Below are 19,745 nucleotides of genomic sequence, written 5' to 3' on the forward strand. Positions count from 1 at the left end.
ACCTAACACATAAGGACTCACATAAACTTAAGGTAAAGGGGTGGAAAAAGGCATTTCATGCAAGTGGACACCAAAGGTGAGCAGGAGTAGCTATTATATCAGAAAAACTAACTTGAAAGCAACAGCAGTTAAAAAAGACATAGAAGGGGCCAGGTGCAGTGGCTCATGCCTATAATCCCAGCACTTTGGGAGGCTGAGGCGGGTAGACTGCCTGAGGTCAAGAGTTCAAGGCCACCCTGGCCAATATGGTGAAACCCTGTCTCTACTAAAAATATAAAAATTAGCCAGGCGTGGTGGCGGGCACCTGTAATCCCAGCTACTCGGGAGGCTGAGGCAGAATTGCTTGAACCCGGGAGGCAGAGGTTGCAGTGAGCTGAGATCACGCCATTGCACTCCAGCCTGGGCCACAGAGGGAGACTACGTCTCAAAAAAAAAAAAAAATACAAAGAAGGACATTATATAATGCTAAAAGACCTTGTCCAACAGGAAAATATCACAATCCTAAACATTTATGCACCTACCACTGAAGCTCCCAAATTTATAAAACAGTTACTAATAGACCTAAGAAATGAGACAGACAGCAACACAATAATAGTGAAGGACTTCATTACTCCACTGACAGCACTGGACAGGTCATCAAGACTGAAAGTCAATGAAGAAAAAATGGATTTAAACTATACCTTGGAACAAATGGACTTAACAGATATATACAGAACATTCCATCCAACAACTGCAGGATACACATTCTATTCAACAGCACATGGAACTTTCTCCAAGATAGACCATATGATAGGCCACAAAATGAGCCTCAATAAATTTAAGAAAGTTGAAATTATATCAAGCACTCTCTCAGACCACAGTGGAATAAAACTGGAAATCAACTCCAAAAGGAACCTTCAAAACCATGCAAATACATGGAAATTAAATAATCTGCACCTGAATGATCACTGGGTCAAAAACAAAATCAAGATGGAAATTTAAAAATTCTTTGAACTGAAGGACAATAGTGACACAGCCTATCAAAACTTCTGGGATACAGCAAAGGCCACTTTTCCTCCTAAGAGGAAAGTTCACAGCCCTAAATGCGTACATCAAAAAGACTGAAAGAGCACAAACTGACATTCTAAGGTCACACATCAAGGAACTAGAGAAACAAGAACAAACCAAACCCAAACCCAGTAGAAAAAAGGAAATAACCAAGATCAGAGAAAAACTAAATGAAATTGAAACAAACAAACAAAAAAATACAGAAGATAAAAACAAAATGCTGGTTCCTTGAAAAGATAAATAAACTTGATAGACCATTAGTAAGATTAACCAAGAAAAAAAAGAGAGAAAATTCAAATAGCCTCAATAAGAAACAAAATGGGAGCAGAAATACAAAAGATCATTCAAAGCTACTATGAACACCTTTACGCATATAAACTAGAAAACCTAGAAGAGATGGATAAATTCCTGGAAAGATACAAACTTCCTAGCTTAAATCAGGAAGAATTAGATACCCTGAACAGATCAATAACAAGCAGGAGATTGAAGTGGTAATTAAAAATTACCAACCAAAAAAGTCCAGGACCAGACTGATTCATAGCAGAATTCTACCAGACATTCAAAGAAGAATTGGTACCAATCCTATTGACACTATTCCGCAAGACAGAGAAAGAAGGAACACTCCCTAATTCATCCTATGAAGCTAGCATCACCCTAATACCAAAACCAGGAAAGGATACAACCAAAAAAGAAAACTACAGGCTGATATCCCTGATGAACACAGACGCTAAAATTCTTAACAAAATACTAGCTAACCGAATCCAACAACATATCAAAAAGACAATCCACCATGATCAAGTGGGTTCCATACCAGGGATGGAGGGATGGTTTAACATATGCAAGTCAATAAATGTGATACACCACATAAACAGAATTAAAAACAAAAATCACATGATCATCTCAATAGATGCAGAAAAAGCATTAGACAAAATCCAGCATCTCTTTATGATTAAAACTCTCAGCAAAATCGGCATACAAGGGACATACCTCAATGTAATAAAAGCCATCTATGACAAACCCACAGCTAACATAATACTGAATGGGGAAAAGTTGAAAGCATTCCCTCTGAGAAATGAAACAAGACAAGGATGCCCTCTCTCACCACTCCTCTTCAACACAGTACTGAAAGTCCTAGCCAGAGCAGTCAGACAAGAGAAGGAAATAAAGGGTATCCAAATTGGTAAAGAGGAAGTCATACTGTCACTGTTTGCTGATGATATGATTGTTTACCTCAAAAACCCTAAAGACTCCTCTAGAAAGCTCCTAGAACTGATAAAAGGATTCAACAAAGTTTCCAGATACAAAATTAATGTACACAAATCAGTAGCTCTTCTAAACACCAACAGCAACCAAGCAGAGAATCAAATCAATAACTCAACCCCTTTTACAATAGCTGCAAAAAAAAATGAAGTACTTAGGAATATACCTAGCCAAGGAGGTGAAAGACCTCTACAAGGAAAACTACAAAACATTGCTGAAAGAAATCATAGATGACACAAACAAATGGAAACACATCCCATGCTCATGGATGGGTAGAATCAATATTGTGAAAATGACCATACTGCCAAAAGCAATCTACAAATTCAACACAATCCCCATCAAAAAACCACCATCATTCTTCACAGAGTTAGAGAAAACAATTCTAAAATTCATATGGAACCAAAAAAGAGTCCCATAGCCAAAGCAAGACTAAGCAAAAAGAACAAATCTGGAGGCATCATATTACCTGACTTCAAACTATACTTTAAGGCCATCGTCACCAAAACAGCATGGTACTGGTATAATAATAGGCACATAGACCAATGGAACAGATTAGAGAACCCAGAAATAAACCCAAACACTTACAGCCAACTGATCTTCGAGAAAGCAAACAAAAACATAAAGTGGGGAAAGGACACCCTTTTCAACAAATAGTGCTGGGATAATTGGCTAGCCACATGTAGGAGAATGAAACTGGATCCTCATCTCTCACCTTATACAAAAATCAACTCAAGATGGATTAAAGACTTAAATCTAAGACCTGAAACTGTAAAAATTCTAGAAGATAACATTAGAAAAACCCTTCTAGACATTGGCTTAGGCAAGGATTTCATGACCAAGAACCCAAAAGCAAATGCAATAAAAACAAAGATAAATAGCTGGGACTTAATTAAACTGAAGAGCTTTTGTACAGCAAAAGGATCAGTCAGCAGAGTAAACAGACAACCCACAGAGTGGGAGAAAATCTTCACAATCTATACATCTGACAAAGGACTAATATCCAGAATCTACAATGAACTCAAACAAATCAGTAAGAAAACAACAATCCCATCAAAAAGTGGCCTAAGGACATGAAAAGACAATTCTCATAAGAAGATATACAAATGGCCAATGAACACATGAAAAAATGCTCAACATCACTAATGATCAGGGAAATGCAAATCAAAACCACAATATGGTACCACCTTACTCCTGCAAGAATGGGCAGAATCAAAAAATCAAAAAACAGTAGATGTTGGTGTGGATGTGGTGATCAGGTTAGACTTCTACACTGCTGGTGAGTATGTAAACTAGTACAACCACTATGGAAAACAGTGTAGAGATTCCTTAAAGAACTAAAAGTAGAACTACCATCTGATCCAGCAGTCCCACTACTGGGTATCTACCCAGAGGAAAAGAAGTCATTGTACGAAAAAGATACTTGGACAGGCATGCTTATAGCAGCACAATTTGCAATTGCAAAATCAAGGAACCAACCCAAATACCCATCAATCAACAAGTGGATAAAGAAACTGGAATATATATATATGACGGAATACTGCTCGGCCATAAAAAGGAATGAATTAACAGCATTCACAGTGACCTGAATGAGACTGGAGATGATTATTCTAAGTGAAGTAACTCAGGAATGGAAAACTAAACATCATAGGCTCTCACTGATAATGTGGGAGCTAAGCTATGAGGACGCAAAGGCATAAGAGTGATACAATGGACTTTGGGGACGTGGGGGAAAGGTTGGGAGGGGGGTGAGGGATAAAAGACTACAAATAGGATGCAGTGTATACTCCTCAAGTGATGGGTGCATCAAAATCTCACAAATTACAACTAAAGAACTTACTCATGCAACCAAACACCACCTTTACCTCCATAAACTATGGAAAAAAATTAAAAATAAATAAATTAAAATAAAATAAAGGTGGGGAGGCAGAGGTTATAGGCAAAGTCATAAATTGATACATGGGGGCTGCATATTGGTCTGACCTAAAAAGTCAAGACATCTAGAAGCAGGGGGGCTGCAGGTTATAGGTGGATTTAAAGATTTTTTGATTTCTGATTGGTTAAGGAAGTGAAGCTTTATCTAAAAATTTGGGATCCGCAGAAAAGAATGTTAGTTCTGGCTCATGGGTGTGACCTCCTCCAGGCCCCTGAGAAATGTACAATGGTCAGTTTAGTCCTGAGCTTCCCCTTATCTGAAGTCCATGTGCCAGCAGATCTGTTTGGTGTGGGGGTCCAGGTTTTTGAGAAACAACTCAGAGACATATGTTCAGATTTTGTCTTTGGTTCTTATAGAAAACAAAACATCTATTTTAACCTTTTTGGTTATTGTTTTAAGCTGTTATTTTGTTGTTGTTGTTGTTGTTTATTAAGTTGCTCATTTGCTTTTTTTATTTTTCTTCCCTGAGACGTAGTTTCATCCTTGTTGCCTAGGCTGGAGTGCAATGGCATGATCTCGGCTTACTGCAGCCTCCGCCTCCAAGGTTCAAGCAATTCTCCTACCTCAGCCTCCCAAGTAGCTGGGATTACAGGCGCCTGGCACCACACTTGGCTAATTTTTGTATTTTTAGTAGAGACGGGGTTTCAACATGTTGGCCAGTCTGGTCCCAAACTCCTGACCGCAGGTGACCTGCCCGTCTTGGTCTCCCAAAGTGCTGGGATTACAGGCCTGAGCCACCTCGCCTGCCTGCTCATTTGCTTTTTAAGGCTACTTAGGTAGGTGCCTGGAATTTTTTAATGAACCCAAGTTTTTGTTTGTTTGTTTGTGTTTTTTTGTTTTAAATTTTTGTGCTTGAGAAGAGTCCACAGGCCCTTACAAGCGGTCCCTGTTCTGTCTCAATTTGACTGGTTTCTTAAATCCAGAAGTGCAGTGGAACTCCAGAGGAGATATAACACCTTCATAACCTTGATTTGTAAAGAAAACGTAGAACTAGAAGAATAGATCTGAGAAACAAACGAGGGGAGCTTTGTGATTGCCACAGCCTATGACCTTGAAAGAGTTTCCAGGCTGCAGGGCAGGGAGAGGTCGCACAGGCAGAGCCCAGCAGACTCCCTGAGTGGAGGAGACTGAGCTTCTGAGCTGAGCTTCTGGGGAGACGGGGCTGCCCAGAGTTCATAAGAAAGAGTTCCGGAGGGGAGCAAGCTGCACAGAGGGGATTGCGGAGGGTGCCATGAACAGTCAGCAAAGTACTAATGAGCAGGCATTGAGGAAACTACCTATACATGGTCCACTGTGGATGAACCTCAAAATAATTACGCTGAATGAAAGAAGACGGATTTTTTTAAAAAGAGTGCATAACTGTATACTCCCATTTATACCATTTATATAAGATTTTAGAAAGAGCAACTAATCCATAGTGCCGCAAAGCTGATCAGTGATTGAAGGGGGTGGGGGTCGGAGGGTGACAGGAAGGGAGGGGCATGAGGGAAAGACTGTACTTGACTACAAAGAAATTTTTGGGAGTGATGAATATGTTGACTATCTTGATTAAGGAAATATGGTTCACAGATTTTTACCTATGTCAAAACTTACTACATTGTATACTTTAAGTACATGTAGTTTATCTTGTCAGTTATACTCCAGTAAAGCTCTTTTTAAAGACTGCATTTAAAAATAATATATGTTGAGCATTCCAAATCCAGAATCTGAAATGCTCCAAAATATGAAACAAGGAAATGCTCATTGGAGTAATTTGGATGTCAGATCTTCAGATTAGGGATGCTCAACTAGTATGTCTTCTCCAATATTCAAAAAAAAAAAATCTGAAATTTGAAACAATGCTGGTCCCAAGCATTTTAGATAAGGGATACTCATCCTGTACAAATAAAAAACAGAGGTCAGGCTTGGTGGCTCATGCCTGTAATCCCAGTACTTTGGGAGGCCGAGGCGGGTGGATCACGAGGTAAGGAGTTCGAGACCTGCCTGACCAACATGGTGAAACCCCGTCTCCACTTAAAAAAAAAAAAAAAAATACAGAGTAGGCTGGGCGTGGTGGCTCATGCCTGTAATCCTAGCACTTTGGGAGGCCAAGGTGGGTGGATCACCTGAGGTGTGGCATTCAAAACCAGCCTGGCCAACATGGTGAAACCCCATCTCTACCAAAAATACAAAAAAATTAGCCGGGCATGGTGGCGCGTGCCTGTAGTCCCAGCTACTTCGGAGTCTGAGGCCGGAGAACCGCTTGAACCCAGGAGGCAGAGGCTGCAGTGAGCCGAGATCGTGCCACTGTACTCCAGCCTGGGCAACAGAGTGACACTATGTCTCAAACAAAACAAAACAAAACACAGAGTAGCCTCCCTCTCAGGGTTGTTCTGAGAAAATGAATGGAGGGGAGCAAGCCCAGATAACCTCTTTGCAACTCCTGCCCAGTTCAGACTATCTTTACCAAGATTCTTGATGTTCTAAGGTGTTTTTCAGTTTCAGAGATGTGTTGCTAGGATCTATGTGGTCAATTAATGCTCTTGATATAATTTTATGCAATTTTGTGTTTTAGGACTCATGAATCAAGCAAGCAAACGTGAAAAATGGATTAAGGCTGATGCCCCAAAAGGCACTGTAAGTTTTAGAAGGCAAAGTTGGTTTCAGTCCCTGAAACTGCAGGACTAAAACTGATTTGAGTTGGATTTATGATTTTTAACAATGATTCGCAGATCTGTGACTACAAAAATGTAAATCCCACCATTCATATAAAGGTTGAAAACAACAAATTGAGAATGAATACTGGTGAACTGTTTTGGGAGGCTTTTTCAAAATTTGTGCTTTGCTATTGTATTCATTTTCTACTGCTCTGTAACAAATTACCACAAATTTAGCAGCATAAAATAATACTCATTTACAGCTATGTCTAGGTTCTCCGCTCAGGGAATCACAAGGCTAGAAATCAAGATTTTGGCCAGGCTGAGTTCTCATCTGGAGTCTCTGGGAAGAAATCTACTTCCAACTTCATTCAGATTATTGGGAAAATCCAGTTCCTTGTGACTGGATGACTGAGGTCTCCATTTTCTTGCTGGCTGTCAGCCAGCAATCACTCTAAGCTTCTAGAGGCCACCCACATGCCTTCTCATGTTGCCCCTCCATCTTCAAGCCAGCAGTGATGCGCTGAGTTCTTCTCATGCTTTGAATATCTGACTTCTTCTGCAGCCAGCTGGAAGAATATATACTTTTAAAGGGCTCACTTGATTAGGTCAGGCCCACCCAGGATAACCTTTGTTTTGCCATATAATGTAACATTCATAGGAGTGATGGCCCATCACATTCAGTTTTCACTCCCACTCAAGGAAAGGAGATTATACAAAGGCATCCATCATGTGGGGACAATTAGCTTAGAATTCTTTATAATGTAGCTCTCACATGACAGGTTTTCTACTTAGTACCTTTTATGGCATCAATGTAAATTTAAGCTGTAAATAAAAAACAAATATGTGAAGCAGTTGCTACTGATTCTTAATATCTTTTGTGTAACTTAAGATATAGCTAATTAGGAAAAAAGAAACAGCTATTTTATAGCCTGATGTATGAAGATAGATTTTTATAAAGGTATACTGTATAAAGATATTTTATGAATTCCATTTCTTTCAAACATCTCTATTCCTGGAACATTTAAATTATATAATACTGGCCAGGCACAGTGGCTCATGACTGTAATCCCAGCAGTTTGGAGGCCAAGGTGGATGGATCACTTGAGGTCAGGAGTTTGAGACCAGCCTGGCTAACATGGTAAAACCCCATCTCTACAAGAAATACAAAAAAAAGAAAATTAGCTGGGTATGGTGGCTCATCCCTGTAATCCCAGCTATTTGGGAGCCTGAGGCAGGAGAATCGCTTGAACCTGGGAGGCAGAGGTTGCAGTAAGCCGAGATCACACCACTTTACTCCAGCCTGGACAACAGAGTGAAACTCCGTCTCAAAAAAATTAATTAAAATAAACAAATAAGTTATATAATACTATAACTATACTATAAGACCAGACCTATCTCTTGGTGATGTAGTTTGGATATCTGTCCCCCAAAATCTCATGATGAAATGTAATCCCCAGTGTTGGAGGTGGGGCCTGATTGGATCATGTGGGCAGATTTCTCATTAATTGTTACCACCACCTTCTTGGTTCTGTCCTCATGATAGTGAGTTCTTGCAAGATCTGACTGTTTAAAAGTGTGGGTATCTTCCCCGTCTCTCTCTTGCTCCTGCTCTTGCCATGTGATGTGCCTGCTCCCACTTTGCCTTCTGCCATGAGTAAAAGCTCCCTAAGGCCTCCCCAGAAGCCAAGCAGAGAGGCCCGTGCGATGCTTTCACAGCCTGCAGAACCAATTAAACCTCGTGAGTCAATTAAACCTCTTTTCTTTAGAAATCACCCAGCTTCAGGTATTCCTTTATAGCAAAACAAGAATGGCCTAAATCGCTTGGATTATATTTTTTATGATTAAGATAAGTCAGTTCTTTTTTTGTTTGTTTTTTGAGACAGGGTCTTGCTCTGCCACTCAGGCTGGAGTGCAGTGGCACAATCTTGGCTCACCGCAACCTCTGCCTCCGAGGTTCAAGCGATTCCCATGCCTCAGCCACCACAGTAGCTAGCATTACAGGTGCACGCCACCATGCCCAGCTAAGTTTTGTATTTTTACTAGAGATGGGTTTCACCATGTTGGCCAGGCTGGTCTTGAACTCCTGGCCTCATGTGATCTGCCTGCCTCAGCCTCCCAAAGTGCTGGGATTACAGGTGTGAGCCACTGCACCGGGCCAGGAGAAGTCCATTCTTAAACACTAATTTTTAATAAACCTTTCCAAATATTATTATTTATGATGATCTTTTTCTTTTTTTCAGACGAGGTCTCACTCTGTTGCCCAGGCTGGAGTGCAGTGGCATGATCATAGCTCATTGAAGCCTTAAACTCCTGGCCTCAGGCATCCTCCTGCCTCAGCCTCCTGAGTTGCTGGGATTACAGGCAGGTGCCACCATGCTCTAATTTTTAAATTTTTTATAGAGATGGGTTTTACTATGTTCATCAGGTCTCGAACTCCTGGCCTCCAGTTGTCCTTCTGCCTTGGCCTCCCAAAGTGCTGTGATTATAGGCATGAACCACTGTGCCCAGCCTCCTTTTCATTAATTTTCCATTTCTTTAGAGTTCTGTTTTTAACTTCTTATTTATGAAACAAAAGTCAGCTTTGTAGGATATCTCAGAGTCTCCTTTTAGTTCACCCTTCATGAAATCAGAATGTATACAAGTCTGAAAGATACTCACACATTGGTATATTTGGTATGGTTGTGGTGTGTTATACTATTAAGTAGAGGAAACTGTGTAGCAGTGAGGCAGTTTTGATAATCTTTTTTCACCCTCATGCAATTACATAAACATTTTCATGACTAAAAATAAATTAGCTAACCACAGCCAGAAAAGTCATAAGCATAACAGCAGTCAACTATATTTAAAGCTACTAATGGAATTGTACATATTTGGATCACATTGTTAAGTCCCAGACAAAAAGAAAAAGCTGCCATAATTTACTCTCTTGGACACAGACCTATGAATATGAAATACGTAAGGGCTAAAGACCTAACTAATATCTTTGATATTTTGAGTAGTTTGCATCGAAAACTTAAAAGATTTCTCTACCTGTATCCCTATTCTTGGTCTCCTTTCATAGCTCACTTTTTCTACTCCTTTTCTTCATTTATGTAGCTGTAAAATTTGTCTCCCCAGAATGAATGAATGTGTCTTCTGTTCTTGTTTAAGAAAGGATGTTACTCAAAGAGCTTTGGAGCAAGCTCTGAATGTAAAGCAACCTGCTAGGTTTCTGGAGAACATAACAGGGTGTGTTTCTTACCGGGGTCTAACCAGTGCAGGTGTCATTCCTTTAGAAAGCAATTGCCTCTTTTATAAGTTCCACCAGTTGTGTGCATGAAGCACTTAGGGATCAGATTTTTGAAAACATCTTTAATGCAGCTGCCAGAAATTTCCAAATTTAGGTTAAAATCATACTCTTATGTCATCTTATGTCTCTTGGCTATGGTCTAAAACTTCCCACTCAAATGATTCTGTTGCCTGTGTGCCCACTCCTAGGAACCTTTCCACAGCTAAGTAATATTACCTTATTTCAAAAACTTTGCAAGTCAACCTCAGTGGGGGAGAATTACTAAAAGCATTTAGCTAATACAAGGTAGCCTATAATAATACTTTGTACAATCTTTTTAAAACTTTTCAAAATAACGATGCTTTATCTTAAGTTTTTAATCCTTATTTGAAACTTGTGGGATACAAAAAGAGAATTAACTCCACGTGAGAGATAAGTAATTGAGGAAATAGAAAGGTTAAAAGGCTGATCTGATATTGCTGACAAGGCTTGTTTGCGGCAGTCAGAACAGAGTTGTGTTTTCTCTTGGACTGTGTCAACATCAGTGTTACATAATATCAAATAATGGTAAAAACCCACAGATGTGCTCACTTCGGCAGCACATATACTAAAACCTACGGATTAAAGCTTATTAAAAACTAATATGTAGATATGCAATTAATAACCCATACTTCCTAGCATAAAATTGAGGGAGCATCTTTTTTGGCATAGCATAGTTTAAGAATTCCTCCGTTGTGCAAATTTGATTAAAGAGATGTCTTTCTGAGACATTGCAGGGACATTCTTTCTATTCAGATAGTTCTTGTTTCTATTTAATTTGCCCCTGACTAAGTCAAATGTTGAGATAAGTACAGAGTTAATTGGCGGCATTTAGTTCTCTTTTGTTGTTAAATGTCTGGAAACCACAGAAAAGCCACATTTCCTTTGAAAATATTAATATATGTCTGTATTCTTTATAAAGCCTTAAAAAGCGTTACAGATCCTTAAAGTTATTCCCCTGGCTCAAACTCTTAGTTTGACATATGGCCATCTCTGCTTTCTTTTTCCTTTCTAAAGAAAAATTTCTTAATTTCTTGTCAAAAAAGTCTCATCTCTCAGGGTTGTTTCATATAACTGTAGATTTTATAATCTCATCAAAACTATTGGTTTGATTAAATTTAGGCAGAAATTTTGTGTAGTCAGTACTTGATTTGGCTTCTTTTTTTTTTTTTTTTTTTTGAGACGGAGTCTTGCTCTGTCGCCGAGGCTGGAATGCAGTGACGTGATCTAGGCTCACTGCAACCTCCGCCTCTCAGGTTCAAGCAAGTCCCCTGCCTCAGCCTCCTGAGTAGCTGGGATTACAGGCGCCCACCACCACACCCGGCTAATTTTTGTATTTTTAGTAAAGATGGGGTTTCACCATGTTGGCCAGGCTGGTCTTGAACTCCTGACTTATGGTCCACCCGCCTTGGCCTACCAAAGTGCTAGGATTACAGGTGTGAGCCACCGCTCCTGGCCTGGCTTCTTTTTTAAATCATGATTATTTAGACAGAAGAACTACTGATGTGTTTGGAAATATTTGTAGTTGGAATAAGAATCAGAAGATGGTTTGTTGCTTGTTTACATTGTTATTGAGATTCAGCTAGTAAACATACTTGCAACAAATGGAGAAAACTTGCCAAGTTCTTGATTTTTTGTTCTTCCTGCTTGAGGCTGAAGGTCACGCTGCTTGGTCTTCACTGCTGTATGTTGACTTTTTCACTGTTAATTCTAAGGCTCCTTTAGATGATGTTATGTTGTCAAGCTCTGTAACAGGGTTTCCTTCCCTATCATAGCCAAACCAACGTGGAGGGTCATTAGTGTTGTATTCCTGCTGCTGAACTTTAGATGACATTCTTTGAGCTGCCTTCCTGTAATAACAGTGCTTAGCATTAGCTAGTTGCAGAAGTAACCCCTAGTGCAAAATTTTCAAACTCAACCAAATTTGGAGTTAGGGAATTCACTGTCACAATCTGAATTCACATGAGACCTCTCTTGCCTTGCTGAGAGTGAGGATATGGGTAAGTGTACAAATAAACAGGGTCCCAAAGCCTCAGTAACTCTGATTCAGCCAGTTCAGAAATTAACAGATACAGTGAATGGGTAAGGAAACTACACATGGCCATGGAAGAGGAACACTGAGGCCTCTATTTATTTATACTGCTTTAAGTAAGCCCCTTCCTTGGTATTTCTAGTTTCTCTGATGAGGGAGTAACCTAACCAGCCTACCTGTGAAGGCTGACCATGCACCAGGCCAGGAGCTCTTAACCCAGAGTTCACAGATCCCTTTTGACTACATGGATGAACTTCAGGGAGGTCCATGAACTCCCTGAAAGTTCATGCAGTTTTGTCTATAATACACATTTTTATGAGAAGGTTTGTGACTCAAAGGTGTCACAACACTATAACACAGTATTAAAAAATACTGTTATAGTCTTTCTTAGCAGGAAACAAGAAAGTAAAGAATGCATCAGAAAAAAAGTAGGTCTAACTTGAAAACAAAGCCATTTTGAGGACAGAAGGAAGAATTTCCTTTCCTAGAAAGTTGGTTTGAATCACGAGATTAGTACTAAAGAGGAGATGAGTAATTGACCACTTCTGTACGATTAGAAATGAGTAACTATGATGTTTACCCATGAAGGCACTACCTTCCCCACTCTTGCCGTATGTTACCTTGAGTTATTAATTGCAAAAGTCTGGAAACTGAGTCATTGATATGGAGCTGGCATTACCATACACTTCGAGTTAAGTTTGTGCTGAATGGCCATATGAGTTCAGGTAAGGCAATGAAATAGGAAGAAAAAAAACCAACAACATAGAGATAACAGTTTAAAATGCTATTTCAGTTAAATCAAACTTTAGATGTATTAAAATAATTGTAACCAAACTTAACAGGGAGGTAACCAAAGCATTCCTAATTCTGCCTCTAAGCACATTGCTTTTTAGCTTATTATTGGCTCTCACACAAAACTTCTACAAACTTAAAGAACAAATTGAGTAAAAGCAATTATCATATACTAATTCCTAGTTTGGAGCCACCAATCCCTATGGACTAAAACTTGGCAAACAAGTTTATTCTCTTCAGAGAAATATTTATTCTCAGTTTTGAAAATGGTAAGTTTATTGTCAAAGATAATGTTTTGCATTCTGTTAATTTTTTAAATCTTTTTTTAAGGTGCTAGCCTGCATTTTAAACCTCTTATATAATCTTTACATATCCTCAAAGTAGAACATTACTATGCAAAAGTAGTGGGTTTATATCTTTTGCTTTTCCCACATTATTCTCCTAATGATATTTCTCCCTTTTCAATTCTATAAAGGTGAGATTATCATATCTTTCAACACATTTTCTGAACATTTTTCCCCTTAAGACTTACTGAAATATAATACCAAATGTTGAGGCATATAACATTAGCACCATCAGTTTCATGTAACAAACAGCAAGGCTCCATCATTACCCTTCACCCATCTCTATCAGTCTAAACATTATCCATTTTTCAAAACTCCAAACCAATCCAGCCTCCTTGGAAATGGCTCAAACCCAGTCTTCTCCTCCTCTAAACATCTACAGGAAGTTGATCATAGAATTAATTTCTTTCTATTACATAGCTTCAGGGCATTAATTATTTATAATTTTAAACTTTGTTATTTTCCTTTTGTTTAAGAAGGTAGTAAGTTACTTAAGAGTTTATTACATTTCTTTGCATCTCCCTGAAACTCATCATGAATAGCTCAAACGAGAGATTTCAGCAGCTTACACCAAGAAGGGAAGTCCTTTAACCCTCTTGGCTTCTGCTGGATTGCTGGTCTAGAAGGGGCATTCTTATGTTCCTATTTCCAACACCCTCCTGCCCCCTGCCTCCCAAACACCAGAGTTCTGGACACACACTGCAGTTCACAGTTGTTCATAATCATTCAATGCCACTGATGTTGACTGTAGTACAAGAGTAGCACAGTTAGAGGCAACAATGATCTTGACCTATAGGAAAAGGAAATGCTTGTTTTAGGGAGTAAAAGATTTGCAAATCCTCATTCACCAAGTTACATCTTACCTTAATGTCAGAAGAGCAACAGTTTTGACGGCTCTAGATAACTGGTAAGAGGATAAGTACTACTAATGATAAGTCTGGGAAAGTGTAAATATTGAGTCCTATGGTTGCTCAGTCAGCTACAAGCCAGGGTAAATTAGATGGTAATTGTGACATAAAACAATTAGCAAGTAGTGGGGGTTTGAGAAAATAACAAGAAAAAGGAAAGTGAGAATGCTGACTCCTTAATATAAGATAAGGAAAACAGTGAGTGAACAGGGAGACTACTCATTTAATGCAGTGTGATGGGACAGAATCGAAATGAGCTGCATGTTGAACCCCAGCCATGGGTGAAGTGCCCACTGGTATATGCATTTCTTTAATGTCCTCATTCCTTAGTCCCTGTCCCCCTTACCCTAGCTCTGCTCTCCAGTCCACCCACAGACAGCTTTAGTGAAACCAAACATCAGTGGGTCCCTGACTATTGGAAGTGATGCTTACTGACTGGAGGGGAGCAAAGGATCAGATCTCAGACCCACTCTCCTTCCAGACTCAAGTTCTGGGAGGTTAAGGCTTCCTCCACCTGGTATGTCTTTAGGGCCTGTTTTAGTCTGAAGTGCTTTCACAGCAAGGGTGGTCCTAGGGAAAAACAGAAAATATGAATCTGTCCTGGAGCAAATCTAGGATTATTTTTAGAGAGCTATGGATACTAGTATAGACTATTCCCTATTCCACTTCTTTCCTGCCCTTCAGAAAATCCTTAGCCGTGACTAGCTGTCCTCACCACCTTTGGCATCCTCACACGGACTGACTAACCTAAGACCCAGGACCTTGCCAAGAGAAGAGATCGGCAAGTGGCTGCCAGAAGGTTTTTCTGAGTTCTTTATCATAGCATCCTATGTAGCTGTGTGTTTGCACACACGCACCTTTAAAAAAAAATTTAGATTCAGGGTGTACACGTGCAGGTTTGTTATGTGGGTATATTACATAATGCTGGGGTTTGGGCTGCTATTGAACCCATCAGCCAAATAGTGAACATAATGCCCAGTAGGTACTTTGTTAACCCTCGCCATCCTCCCTGCCTCCCCACATTTGGAGTTCCCAGTGTTTATTGTTTCCATCTTTATGTCCAAGTGGTTAGCTCCTACTTTTAAGTGAGAACATGCAGTATTTGGTTTTCTGTTTCTCTGTTAATTCACTTAGGATAATGGCCTCCAGCCGCATCCATGTTGCTGCAAAGGACATGATTTCATTATTTTTTATGACTGTGTAGCATCCCATGGTCTGAATGTACCACATTTTCTTTATCCAATCCACCACTGACAGGCACTTAGGTTGATCCCATGACTTTGCTATTGTGAATGATGCTGCAATAAACATACAACTGCAGGTGTCTTTTTGATAGAATTATTTCTTTTCCTTTGGGTAGATACCCAGTAGTGGGATTACTGGATGAAATGGTAATTCTATTTTAGTTCTTTGAGAAGTTTTTATACTGCTTTCTATTTTGGCTGACCTAATTTACATTCCCACCACAGTGTAAAAGCATTCCCTTTTTTCCACATCCTCACCAGCATCTTTTATTTTTTGACTTTTTAATAATAGCCATTCTGATTGGTGCGAGATGATACTTCATTGTGATGGTAATTTTGCATTTCTCTGATGATTAGTGATGTTGAGCATTTTTTCATATTTTTGTTGGCCACTTGTATGTCTTCTTTTGAGAGGTGTCCGTTCATGTTTTTGCCCACTTTTTAATGGGCTTATTTGGTTTTTGCTTGTTGATTTGTTTAAGTTCTAGATTCTGGATATTAGACCTTTGTCGGATGCATAATTTGATAATATTTTTCTCCCATTATCTTTACTCTGTTGATAGTTTCTTTTGCTGTGCAGAAGCTCTTACACATGTATTTTGAATCGTATCAGGAAAGTTAAAAATGTAGAAACTATATTTCTGGGAGAAACCTCTCTCTCTCTCCTGCCCCTCCCCTTTCTCTCTTAATAGCTTGATGCTGTAGTGTGATCAGCACATGGGAGCTAGGAAATATTGAAAAAAACATGTATTCTTAGGAACCACTGTGTGTTCTAAATTCCATAGAGCACATATGGAATTCTTTGACTGCATTCCATTCTGCTTTGGCCTAAGTGACTGTGAGACCCCGTATGAAATGATTTGGGAATTGAACCAATCTGCTGCAATGGTTACTCATTTATCCTGGTGAGAGGTTTCTTTGGATCAGTATAGAACAGTGATTTTCAAACATGATATGTCATAGTTGTAACATTTCACATTAGATGGTTAATAATAACACTGTACTGAAGTTTGTTAGTGATTTTTGTTTCTTATAAATTAAAAGGGATTCAGGGTTAGCCCTGTAGTAACACTGTGTGCCTTAGCTCACATTTCCTTCTAATCTCTTGAGTAGGCAAAAAAAGGGAATGTTGGAGCCACCACCAAGGACTGCTCATAATCCACAGCCTCTCTTATTGTGCATCAGACATAAATTAGGCAAAACAGAGCACGTGTCTACCCTTACTGACCACATCCCTTGAATGTCAGAGCTTTTTAAAAGCTTGAGAATGTAATATAAAGGCGAAGAGCAGCACAGTATGATTAAGACCTAGGTACAAAGTATGGCTCTCCTTATTTGTGTGGCTGTGGGCACATTATTTAACCTGTTTAAACCAGTTTCCTTATCCATTTTGATGATAAAGTGTATTTGTGAGGCAATATCTGTAAAATAGGATTTAGCACAGTACGTGGCAAATAATAATTGTTAAATAACATTATTTGTTCATACTGATAATAAAAGTCAACAGCTCCACATCAGAAAGGCTTGAACCTTTCCATGAGCTAGAGAGGAGAACTCTGATAAGAGTTTTATTTTTTATCAACACAGATCTCCTAGAATGCCTGAGCAGTAGGGACTGTCCGAGTTTAAGCTTCTAGCAACTGCTAAAGAAGGCCTTCCAGGAATTTCATACTGTGATTTGGGGCTCTGAAGGCCACTAAGACTTTCTCTACTAGTTCTCTAGAATTGAAGGTTTTGGGCTCCAGATAGAAATATATCAAAAGTTCCCTTTATTTTTTTAAAAAATTTATTTCCAACTTTTATTTTAGGTTCAGGAGTACATGTACAAGATGTACAGGTTTGTGACATAGGTAAACGTGTGCCATGGTGTTTTGCTGCACAGATCATTCCATCACCCAGGTATTAAGCCCAGTATCTATTAGTTATTCTTCCTGATTCTCTCCCTCCTCCCACCCTCCACCCTCTGACAGGCCCCAGTGTGTGTTGTTCCCATCCATCTGTCCATGTGTTGTCATCATTTAGCTCCCACTTATAAGTGAGAACATGCGTTATTTGGTTTTCTGTTCTTGGATTAGCCTTTTCGCTAACTATACAATTAGTGATTCTTCAGGTTCTCTGTGGTTCAGGCCCTCCTGGGTTGTGGGGGCCATTGTGAGGGTCTTTCTTCCTCTCTCTCACTCCTACCTTGTTGCCTTTCCCCACAGAGGGCCATAAGTTGAATGGCTGGCTGTCACAGCTGCTTCAAATACAAATAGCTTGTCGTTTTCTGATCATAGTTGTTACTTATTCCTCCTTGAAATAAAGGAGCCTTTATCTTGCATCCACACGGTGCTTCTGGGGTCACTTCCTGGAAACCCTTCAGACTCTGGGGTTGGTAGAATGCCAGCCATATCTTCTGCAGGAAACTCTCCTGCAAAAGGGCTACAGCCAATTTGCTCATTGACCAAAAGTTTGCTACTCCTCTGGTTCAGAAAGGGTGAGCTGAGCAGACATCTTTGATTTGCAAAGCTGGTGCAGTAGTTTCAGATTCCATTGAGTATGAGTGAATTTATGTATAAAACAGCCTCTTCTGACGGCTGTAATTGGACCTTAAGGGCTGCATCATACATTGTTTTCATGTTCAAAATGGAATCAAGCATGTGGAGAGCATTGCTTTGTGATTCAAAGACATTGAGCTTCTTCCCAAGCCAGAAAAATCTCTCTTATCCCACCTGCCAAAGGTTCTGTTTCACCCAGACAAATCAAAGCCTCTGCAGTTGAGGGAGCCACACTGGCCCTGATTAGATAGTGAGCATAGGTAAGGGATTAGAGATCATCAAGGGCTTGAGTTTTGAAGGGTCTACATACACTGTGCATTTCCAACTGCACTGAAGGATCTAAATGCAAAACGAAGCTGCTCCATAGAGCACCCGGAGCTGATCGCAGAAAGCTGCATGCAACTAGGCCCCCTTACAGCTTCTCTAATAAAAAAATTTGAGGCCAGGGTATTTCAGGAGCCCCCTAACTGACAAGTAGCAACCTATCCTAGATGTTGAACATAAAGACAGATGTTTCTGGAGCTTTACTAGTCCAAACACTGGGACTCTCCAAGCCACTCTACAGTGAGGACTGTCTTTCTCCATTGCTAGACAAAGATGGAATCGAGGGATTCTAGGCCTCTTTCCTGCTAGAGCTAAGCAAGGGTGGAGCTTTCAGGGAGACTAAAAGGTAGTGGTGTGGCCTCTTTAGACAACGAAGTGCACACACCAAACCAGCCCCTTTCTAAGCATTAGGGCCAAGTCTCTGCCTGCTTCTTGTGCATAGGGACAGCCAAGTTTGATTGCAGAAGACAAAATAGGCCTTCGGCTGTCATGGCTTAGACAATGGAATTTTTCACAGCTATAGCTGGTTAATTAGAGTTCTACATTGGGGTTTTGGGACAAAGCTCAGCTAGTAGTCAAGTCTTACTATGCCTTGTTTTATTTTTTTTGCACGTATATTTTTTAAATCTAGGGACCTAGCAAGAAGACCGAGCAGTTAAGGCAGGATTCGGATGTTACTGGATATCCTGGGTCTTCTTGACCACTCACTATATTAATCATACTTCAGTGTCCCATATGTCTTGGTCCATTTTGTGTTGCCATAACAGACTACTACAGACTGGGTAATTTATAAAGAAAAGAAATTTATTGCTCATAGTTATAGAGGCTGGGAAGTCCAATATCATCCCATGGCAGGAAAGAAGGAGCCCTAGCTCATCCTTTTATCAGGAACCCACTCCCATGATAACTAACTCACTTCCATGATAACGGCATTAGTCTGTTCATGAGGGCAAAGCCCTCATCACCTAATCACCTCTGAAAAGGTCACACCTCTCAATAATGTTGCATTGAAGATTAATTTTCAACACATGAACTTGGGGGACCACATTCAAACCATAGCATCACACCATGATTAGGTTCAAAGAGCCCCTTGCCAGAAAGTCTCCATTCATTCTAGAATCTTACTTATTAGAAATTCAATAATATTACCTCTTATAAATAGTGATTGGCAAAATATAATCAAAAAATTAGAAGCTAAACTCCTTTGAGTAACACGTTATTCATTCACTGTCATCTTGCTGAAAGTTGTCTGTTAATAATCTAACAAGTTTGGCAGAGACTCCTAGGACCCTATTTCATTGTATATCCTTTAAATGAGGTTAGCAGTATTCATATCAGAGTTATCTCCAGACCTATCAGGAAGGGTTGAGTCTCCAAC

At 39.7% G+C, this 19,745-nt stretch overlaps 2 protein-coding genes across 36 annotated transcripts in view; one reads left to right on the plus strand and one right to left on the minus strand.

Annotated features, from left to right (window-relative positions):
- FAM185A (family with sequence similarity 185 member A) overlaps window positions 1-19,745 on the plus strand; it is a 101,725-nt gene that overhangs the window by 52,497 nt on the left and 29,483 nt on the right. For 12 of the 17 annotated variants that reach the window (NR_146987.2, NR_146989.2, NR_146985.2 and 9 more), the window contains one exon: window positions 6,795-7,730. Coding sequence is in view for 3 of the 17 variants with exons in the window: in NM_001145268.2 (NP_001138740.2) it covers window positions 6,795-6,907 (113 nt within the window). In the remaining 14 variants the exon portion in view is untranslated. Of the gene's footprint in view, window positions 1-6,794; window positions 7,731-19,745 lie in introns of those variants that run through there. The other 5 variants (NR_146986.3, NR_146984.3, NR_146981.3 and 2 more) reach the window with 1 other exon arrangement.
- Window positions 9,694-19,745, minus strand: part of FBXL13 (F-box and leucine rich repeat protein 13) — a 263,608-nt gene continuing 253,556 nt past the window's right edge. For 12 of the 19 annotated variants that reach the window (XM_017011850.3, XM_005250207.5, XM_011515928.4 and 9 more), the window contains one exon: window positions 9,694-12,036. In XM_017011850.3, coding sequence (XP_016867339.1) covers window positions 11,847-12,036 — 190 coding nt within the window. In that variant the 3' untranslated portion in view covers window positions 9,694-11,846. The other 7 variants (NR_105043.2, NM_001287150.2, NM_001111038.2 and 4 more) reach the window with 4 other exon arrangements.

Source organism: Homo sapiens, chromosome 7 (assembly GCF_000001405.40).
Source record: "Homo sapiens chromosome 7, GRCh38.p14 Primary Assembly".
Classification (NCBI taxonomy): Eukaryota; Metazoa; Chordata; class Mammalia; order Primates; family Hominidae; genus Homo; species Homo sapiens.